The sequence below is a fragment of the Homo sapiens genome, chromosome 7 (assembly GCF_000001405.40).
Source record: "Homo sapiens chromosome 7, GRCh38.p14 Primary Assembly".
Classification (NCBI taxonomy): Eukaryota; Metazoa; Chordata; class Mammalia; order Primates; family Hominidae; genus Homo; species Homo sapiens.
The window spans coordinates 136,839,854-136,849,884 of NC_000007.14; the positions used below are offsets into that span (position 1 = coordinate 136,839,854).

At 34.5% G+C, this 10,031-nt stretch overlaps 1 non-coding gene across 1 annotated transcript; it reads right to left on the reverse strand.

Moving 5' to 3' along the window:
- Positions 1 to 1,239: 1,239 nt before the first annotated feature.
- On the reverse strand, positions 1,240 to 1,343 carry LOC124901850 (small nucleolar RNA U13). Its single transcript, XR_007060683.1, has one exon. It is a non-coding gene; the product is annotated as a small nucleolar RNA U13 (small nucleolar RNA).
- Positions 1,344 to 10,031: the final 8,688 nt, after the last annotated feature.

Consider the following 10,031-nt stretch of genomic DNA (forward strand, 5'->3'; position numbering starts at 1 on the left):
TTCCAGTAGCTCAAAACCAAAAGATAAAGGGAATATGTTGAAGGCATTCAGGGGGTAAAGTGGTAAAAGATATACACAAGAAGAAAAGGGAGAATTCCAGCAGACTTCTTGTCAAAAATTATACAAGCCTTAAGTAAAATGATCACCATGACTAAAGCACCGAAAGTAAAATACTGTGCACCCCAAATTTTATGCATAGTGAAAATACCTTTAATAAATGCAAAAGAAATTGGGATAACTTTAGACAAACAAAAATTGATAATTCATTGCCAGCAGACCTGCACTATAAGAAACATTTTTAAAAATGCCCTCAGGAAGACCAGAATATATCAGAAAAAAATTTAGATCTGTCAGCAAACTAACAGAGGAACAGAAAACCAAACACCACATGTTCTCTTCCATAAGTGGGAGTTGAGCAATGAGAACACATGGACACAGAGAGGGGAACAACACACACCAGATCCTGGTAGCGGGTGACAGGGTGAGGGGAGGGAACTTAGAGGGCGGGTCAATAGGTGCAGCAAACCACCATGGCACACGTATACCTATGTAAAAAACCTGGATATTCTGTACATGTATCCTGTTTTTTTCTTTTTTAGAAGAAATAAAGAAAAAAAATCAGGATGATCAAAAAAACTTTATATCTGTACAAATAAATAAAAATTTCTGGAAATGATTAATTACAAATGTAAATATAAAAGATGTTCTAAAATGCATTAATTGCTGTAAAATATATTTTATTATTTATTTTATATATAATATATATTTTAATTGTTTTTAGAGACAGTGTCTCACTCTGGTGCCCAGGCTGAAGTGCAGTGGCATGATTATAGCTCACTGCAGCTTTGAACTCCCAGTCTCAAGCAATCTTCCTGCCTCCCAAGTAGCTGAGTCTACAGGAATGCACCACAATGCCTGACTGATTATTTTTTTTATTTTTTTTTCTCTTTTGTAGAGACAGAATCTTGCTTTGTTGGCCAGTCTAGTCTCGAACTCCTGGGCTCAAATGAGCCTCCTGCCTTGGCCTCCAAAAGTGCTGGGATTACAGGTGTGAGCCCCCATGCCTGGCTTTTAAAAGAAATTTTACTGCCTAACATGTAAAGTTACTTAAATGTATTTTAAGTTTATAAGTATATAAAAATAGCATAGATGACAAAAATAGCACAAAAAATAGGAGAGAGAAATCTGTGATTTGTAAAATTCTGGGTTTTTTCTCTTCTCTTTTTTTAAATTTTTTCATATCAAATGGGTAATGTACTAATGTCATAATAAGATGTAAGAAAGGCACATCTCACTTATGAGTTAAAAAACCCAGTCATCACATGTATAAGCTGCAAAATGATCTGTAAGAATCTTATAATATATACAAAACCATATAATATTCAAATCAATATTATAATTAATTAAAGATGCATATTGTAAACTTTAGGGTACAAATTAAATTTTTAAAGAGATATGAATAATAACCTATAAATTGAGATTTAAATAAACTCTTATGAAACAAAATTACTCCAAATGCTATCAGGAAGAAAGAGAAATAAAGCAACAAGAAACAGAACATATAGTGTGTTTATGGTAATCTAAGATTTGTTCAACATTTGAAAATTATTCAACGTAATTTACCAAGTCAACATAAATAGAAAGAAAAGTTTGATCATCTCAGTAGATGGAAGGAAAACATTTAACAGCTTTTTACATTCATCAAAGTTAAAATGTCAGCAAAGCTGGAAGCGAACTTTCTCAACTTGTGAAACGTATACGCCAAAAAACAATAACAACAACAAAGAAAAACCCAGGTAAAATTATATAAACAGTGACAGACTGAATGTATTTCCCCCAAAATCAAGAACGAAGCATGCATGTCTGCTCTCACCACTTTTACTCACTATCATACTAAAAACTCTAGCCAATGCAATCAGAGCAGAAAAATAAATTAAAAACTTGCATATATAAAATGAAAAAATAAACTTTCACTTGAAGATCAATGATGGTTTATGTAGAAAATCTCTAATATTCTGTATTAAAACACTACTAGAACTAATGAGTTCAAGGTCATGGGATACAAGATAGGTATGCAAAATAATCTGTTTTATTTATGTATACTATTATTAGAAATTAAAATAGAAATAAAACAGTTTTAAACAATAGTAAAAAAGAAAAAAGTTATCAATCTAAAAAAAATCTGTATGATCTGTATATGGAAAACTAAATATTACTGATTAAAAAACTCAGAAGAGACTTAAATAAATGGTGAAAAAAAAAGTCAAACCAAGACTATTTCTCCATAATTCCACATTTTGTAAATTCTAGAGAGTGAAACTATTTTTCAGTGACAGAAAGCAGACCAGTGATTGCCTAGGGATGGAGTTAAATAAAGATTGGGATAGATTAAGGAGGGTGGAAGGAAACTTTAGGGAGTAATGAAAACGTTATTTTGATTGTGACGGTGGTGTCACAAGTGTAAACAGATGTCAAAATTAAATAAATTGTATACTTTGACTGTACAATGTAGTTCATTATATATCAATTATCCTATAACTCATGAAAAAAGAAAAGCTGTGTTTCTATATAAGTCAATTTGTAAATAAAAACTATATTGGTTGTTTCTTAGCCAGAAACTCTTACAAATGTTACATTTATTAGTGAACTTTGAAATGCAGAATTAAGGGACCAAAAATTCAGCAACAAACATTCAAATTTATGAAAAAATTTTGATCCTACTGTATGCAAAATTCAAAGGTCAAATACCTATGAATAAAAGATGTAATTAAATGAAAAAATGTGATCTAAGAAAAGTTATGGGACATTATTTTGCTGATGTAAAGATGCTATGAGAATAATAGGTCTTCTAGTTTGTGCTTGTAAACTACATTTGCCAAAAACCTGATACTCAGTTGTAGCTGATTTAGAAATATAGGAAGGCACTTCTCTTGATTTTCTTTATTTTACAGTGTAGGTCCCTCTGCCTGGAGCAACAGTGTTTAGCCCTGGCTATACATCAGTACAGACAATGATACTTTTAAAAATAAAAATTTCAAAGGTGCACCCACAGAGGTTCTGAATTAGTAGGACTGGCATCCAGCTCAGATATCTGGAGGTTTAAAGTACTCTCTTGGAGGTGATAATGTACTCTTTTGGAGTACTCTCTTGGAGGTGATAATGCCCCATTATCACCTCTTGGTGATAGTACTCTCTTGGAGGTGATAATGCCCCATCATGGTTGACAATCATTGTCCTTAAAAGAGCAAGGATCCAAAGTCAAGTTAGCATGTGATTGTCATCCAAAGATAGCCATCCATATTGGAGTCTTCAAGGCACCCTAGAAAAGTTTTGACTCTACCAGAAGGGATACAAGCTGCTCAAATCTGGATGGAGAACTTGGGATATAAAAATAAAAGCTAACATTTAAAGACTGGGAAAATGGTGAAGTATTTTATTTTGACATACTTATGTATTTCAGTTTTTATGTAATTATTTCATCACAATGTTTATGCTTTGATTTTTATTAAAGATATTAAAGAGATTTTTGAAATAACCAAGTAGAATGATCTCTCTCTGTTTCTCTCTCTCTCTCTCTCTCTGACCTTCTCTCTCTCATCACTTCTTTACCCCATTTTCCACACTCCTGTTTCTCAATGAAACACATCAACAGAAAGTGTGGTCACATGATCCATGAGGTCAATCAAAAGCATCAGAGTTCACCTGTTGATATTGAATAAGTGATTCAGCCAGGTAAATAAGTGATTTCAGCCAGGTGAATAAGAGGAGACAATGCTGTCTTTTTAAAAGTAGTTTTATCTTTCATTATCATAAATAAAAATATATATTCACTGGAATAAATACAGCAAATAATTATTGATTTTTTATAATTGCTGTATACTTTCATTATTATACTTTCCTGAAGGTAAGTAAGTATAATAAAAAAAAGAAAGAAAGAATTCCCCACCATGCCACTACAAAATGATAGTCTCAGTCACCATTTTGGTAAATATATTTTTTCAGACATTTTTCCATGTAATTTTGAAAACATGTAGGGAGTAGACTAAAAAATACAGGCAAGTATACCTATTATTTATTTTTCCCTTTTTTTGTGCTGTAATATTTATTTTTAAGTATTTTACTAACATTTTAAATTTATTTTTAGTTTGCTTTGTTTATCCTGGGTCAATTATTATTTTTCACTTACTTTATGATTATTACTGAGGATACTTTTATTGTGTAGAGCAAATACATTAAAAATGGCCCACTCCTGATGTTAAATATGCCACTAATATACAATGTATTCTCATTGGTCTGGCTACTTCTGCTCAAAATTATATTCATAATATCCTATAATGCTGGTGTTGTGTGTGCCATTTCATTCTATTGTTAAGTAGGAGTTCATTGTTGAATCAACCACATTTTTATCCTACATTTAATATTTTGATAACTATTTCTGAAGGATGAAGAGGAAGGTGGAAGAAGAGTCTTTACTACCTGTTGTGCACTTGTTTGCCATACATTGTGCTTAGCAGTTGTCCCCACAAAGGACCTATGAAAGAGACTCTATTGTTAGCCCATATTTTAAAATGAGGTAACTGAGGCACAGAACACATAAAAGATTCGTACAACATTATATTGCTAAAAGTGACTTATCCTGGATAACATATACTGCATTAGTTCAGGGTCCCAAAGTGTGACAACCATAAAATATTCCCTCTTTAGTCATCTTCAAAAGTGTGTGAAATTGTTTGCTTCTACATTGACCACCACTGCAGTAATAAATGATGAAATTTCCAACCACCAGGTTTGTAAAATCAAACCTTACATTGATAGCAAAAATCATAATTCTAATCTGTACAGTGAAGCTCCATTTTGAGCATACAATTTCTGTAGTACTTTAGTCTTTTTCCTTTACTCTTTTTATTTTCTTTAGGGTATTAAACAATTTCTACAAGTTTATTCTTCTTTAAAATTCCAGAGGCAGGGGACTCCACAGTTAGTTCAATACTGATATCTAAACTAGGGTTGCCAGATTTAGTAAATAAAAATAGAAGGATATCCAGTTAAATTTGACTTTTAGATAAACAACAAACAATTTTTTAGGATGTGTATTCCTCATGAAACAGTTGAGAAAACAAATACTAGAGGTATTATTTGCTTTCCATCTTAAATTCAAACTTAATTGAGTGTCCTGTATTTTATCTGGCAAGCCTAATCTAAACTAAAGCAATATAGTTTTAGAGACTCTCCCCCGATGAAAGATAATCTTTTGTGTCCCAAGCAAATAGAAACATAAGACATTATCTCAAATGTTGCTTACTGAGTTTGTTCGTATAAAAAGAACATCTAAAATGTACAATTAAAAATGTTTACTTCCATCCGCCAGAAATTGTTCTTATTAATCCCCCTTCCAAATACTTTGAGAAGAGAAAACAAACTAAAAAACAAAACAAAAAAATAAGGCACCAATCATAGAATGTATAAGGTACCCTAAAGTAAACAGGGTCCGTATTTCCTCCAAGAAAGGGTGCCCTTATGGAAGTAAGGACTCTATAAACATGGGCCAAACTTAAAAATAGTTAAGGAGAACCCCTCTTCTCTCACCTCTGTCCCACTTGCCTTTTTCCACCATATTGAAATCTTGAAATAAATCTGAAGACAGTAGCTATGAAAAACCAATACAATTACTTGCAAGTGGCTATCATGAACTACCCAGAATAAAGAGTTCCTTCTTTTTGTAAGCATAAAACTAGTAAAGATGTTAAAAGAAAGCAATTTGAGACCGTCTTCCTCTTCAGCTAAATGTTAGACAAGGACATGAAGAGTGGTTAGCTCCCTTCTGACACTAACACCGAACCCCTGCCCTTCAGAATGATGATAATGCTCTGCTGGATGGCACAGTTACTCAGTGTTGGCATGCCACTCGATGCAGTCTATTTAAAACGTTTTTAGGAGCTTGGATTTTCCCTTCCCTGTAATTTAGAAGGCAGAACAGAGAGGCAGTTTGCTCTTAAAACAATGCAATTGTGAGCTCCTGAGCCATTGTCAGACTGACTTGTTTTCCATGGAAAGTAACTCCCTTGATGTATGCCAGAGATCTGTACCCCCAGATTAATGAGAGAGGGCTCACATAACTTGTGCTTAGTTCTGGAACTTTAAAAAGAGTGAAGTGATTGTAATGGAAAGAATAAAGGAAGGGACCTAAGTGGCAGCAGGAGACTTGGGTCTGGTTCCCTTTTTTCAATCTTGCTACACACTAGGGTGTGGCCTTTGGTAAATTACTTATCATCTTGGAACTGCAGTGTCTTCTTCCTTAAAGTACTGAGGTTTGACTACATTATTGTACAGATCTTTTTGAAACTAGAAGTCTATGGCATTTTACATTAGCTTGTGGTTTCCCTCAGGATTCTTGTGTTTTGTTCAATTCTTCCAGCTCTGCCACTGCTTGAGCAATCATCATAAATCACGGGGCTCACTGGCTCTCTAAAAACTCTTTTAGAAATCTTTATGAAACAAGTCAGCCTAAGAAATATCAAGGACTGCTGCCTTCAAAGGCTTCTGGGAAGTAAGGTATGGATGTATAATTCTTAAAAGACAAAAATAAAAACAACCATGAAAGTACTGAAGAATAAGGGAAAAAAGAAAGAAAGAGGAAGGATATCAGAGGGAAATATTTAGATAATTTTTTAAAACGATGAGTATGAGAAAAATATAGAGGAGCGTTATATCAGGACAGGGTTAGAACAAGACACTGTTTTCAAAGAGGGGTAAAGATGTTTCAGGAAAAGAGTGGAAGAGATTGCACCCACAGGAAGAAATAAGTTCAGGCATTCACTCTTCCGGTGAACAGAAGGGCTATATACTTTCTCTAAATATTACTTAGCAATAAGTAAAGCAGATATAGTCACATATACAGCTACCAATTTCCATCCTTGGGTTGTTGGTCTATATAACAGAAGAGGGTCAGGAAGGCAAGGTAATGAGTGGGGAGGAGTAATTGGGCAGTGGTTCTTATTATGGAATGGAAGAAATTAGTCATGTGGGAATCGGGATGCAGAGGAAATGATGGGGAAGAAGAGCAGTGATGTCTGTCTGTATTCCCTGGGAAGACTGAGAAATGGTAACCTACTCAGGAACTCTTGACGTGTTGGAGAGAGCTCAGGATGTTGAACACTTGAAACAAGGAAATCTTTCTGAGTTATTTTCATACTTTCCATTGAAAGAACAGAAAGAATATCCAACTTAAAAGACACTTCTGTTAGATTTCATAGATTTCTTTTTCTATTGGACAGCTAATAGGTAGCTGCTTCTTCAAGCTGTATAGAGAAGTAGCTTTAGTCTGAGTCGCAGACAGCTAACACCATGATACGAAGTCCTTTCTTGAGAGAGATGCAAGCTTCGTCTGGTCATAAGAAGGATACAGATTGTGTTTTCCCTCCTCTTGCTACCCAGTAAGTCTATTTGTTTTATTTTTTATTCTCCTGAGAGTAAGAAAACATGTTGTGAATTTAAAATATGTAGACACAAAATAGGAGCCTAAGGAAGTGGATGATTAAAGAGTGGAGAATAATACAGGCAGTGGAATAAAATAATGAAGAAGGTCACTGTTTTCTAAGCAGTTCTGTCTCACAAATCAGAATATAGGAGATGAATACTCCTAACTCCACGAACTTTTTACAGCTTACCTCCCTCCGTAGCCCATCATGTGAACAGACATAGTGTCCAGTCAATAGACTCTCCACTCCTGCCTTGACGAACACCATGTCAGATTGGAGAAAGACTGTCCCAAAGCCAAGCCAGTCCTCTCAACCCCATAATTCAAATGTATCTCCACTTATAATTATCCCTCACTTCTGTTTAACTTTTCAGAATTGACAGCTAGACAGTCTCACAGAAAGCCAAGCTGCATACACTCATTAAATTCCTACTTTGTGCAAGATCTGTGTAAAAAAAATTCTGAGGAAAGGAAGCTGGAAAACCTTGGATCTAATCTCTCATTCTAACTTTAAATAAAGGCAAACATCTACCAAACCTAATTCATAGCAAAATATATAAAGAAAACTCAGAAAGGGAGTCAAAGCAGTGTTGAAAATGGAAAAAAGGAAAATGTATAACCTAGAAACAGCCAAGAGATAAATAAATAAATTCAATTTATGTACATATACAGGCACACATTATAATAGCTTAGCATTTGCATCTATCAGATAGGTAAAAATCGAAAACATCCAAATTGGTGAGGATAAGGCAAAATAAATCTTTTATGTATTGTTGGCTTTGAATGTCAGGCTTCATCTGATGGGGAATCACTGACGACTTCAGGATAGTAGACTTACATTGCCTACCTGATGCTTTAAAAATATAATATGGAAGTGATATGAAGGAAGAGAGGACTTAAAGGAAGGGAAGGTCTATTTGGAGGTCTTGTCAATAGATAAATGTTAGATAAAAATAACTTTCATTGGCTATTGCCCATGGATTTAGAGAAAAAGAGAAATCTAGGACCTGGTGTTAGAATAGAAAATGGAGTCCTGGAATTAAATGATGTAATTTTGTTCCTGATATTTCAGTATGGGGAATAAAAAATGTTAAACAGAAATGTGAATGTTACTTTAGAACCCTGTTGTGGAAAAACGGGGGGTTAAATTTAAGTTCTGGGTAATGTTTATTAGTGTCTTGGTCGCTGATTTTTAAACTATAGGAAACACATTTCAAAATCTATATTCTTGCCTATACATTGAAATAGAATGATCTGCCCAACATTAGCCAACAGAAATACACTTCATGAAGATAAGAACCACAGAGTATGCATGTACCATATGGGAAGAATTAAAAGAAGCTCTCTCTATCCTCCATGTTTACATTGTACAAGTTTGGTTCTAAAAGTAAAACAATACTGGAGGTTTAAATGTTGCCCATTTTATGATACAGACTTCCTTTGTTAAAAAAAAGTTTTATTCTTGTATATGCTTTCTAATTTACAAAACCCTTCTAAACACATCGACCCCCTTGAATATACCCAACCCTTTGAACTGGGAATGCTGGGTATCACAATATTGTTTCTGATAAGGGGACTTTAACTGAGAGAGCCTATGGTGTATTTACCCAAAGCCATGTGGCTGCTCCGTGGTGGAGCTGGATTAAGTGCCCAGGTCTCTTTCAATGTACTTACACTGATAGCAATAGGCCCTGAGATGCAATGATTACCAAAGAGTAGTCCCTCATAGATCCTTTCATAAACATCAAGATAAATGTAAATGTTTTATGGAAAAAAATTATTTTTTATGATTGTATTATAAGGTCTATAATGTAACTAGCTATATACCAGTAGCCTAGTTGTTGCATATGTCCATCTCTGCAGATTCAGATGATCACCTGGAAGATCTATTTCTCTCTCTAGTGTGCCCAGCAAGGATGTCATCTAGTAGTTATGACTGCTCTCCTAGTCTGTAATAGCGGGCATAAGTCTCATCATTCTCCCATATCTTCTTTCATTTATCTATAGCTCAATATCATTTTTTTCCTCCAAGAAAGAGTGTTACTTTTCTCTATTTGGATGTGTATCATGCAACAATATCTGGAAATCTCAACCATGGCTGTTTTTCCTATTGTAATTATCTCAAAAATTAACCATGAAGCCTTGCCACATTAGGAGCATTCTCTTTGCACATCCTGAGGTTGGATGTAGCCTATGTGACAGTTGAGATTCCACTGGAGGGATCTCTGGATGTTTCTTGAACACTTCAAGAGGAATAGTCACTTTGAAAATGATACTGCATCTTGTGTTTGAGTGTAGGGAGTGGTGAGGTGTAGGTGGAACATCCTGCAATACATATACTCTTTATCATTTGCATTGGTTTGGATCTTCTGAGAAGCAAATGCTGATATAGGTTTAAATGACCATGCTAGATTTACCAGGGGAAGGAGGAGAAGACAGGGAAATCCTTTAGACAGGCATATGGATGTAACATTTTTGGAAGGTAAGAAGCAAGGGGATTGGGTAAAAAATATCTTGGCTGTTTCACAGTTCCAAGAAAGGTTTTGCCAGGTTA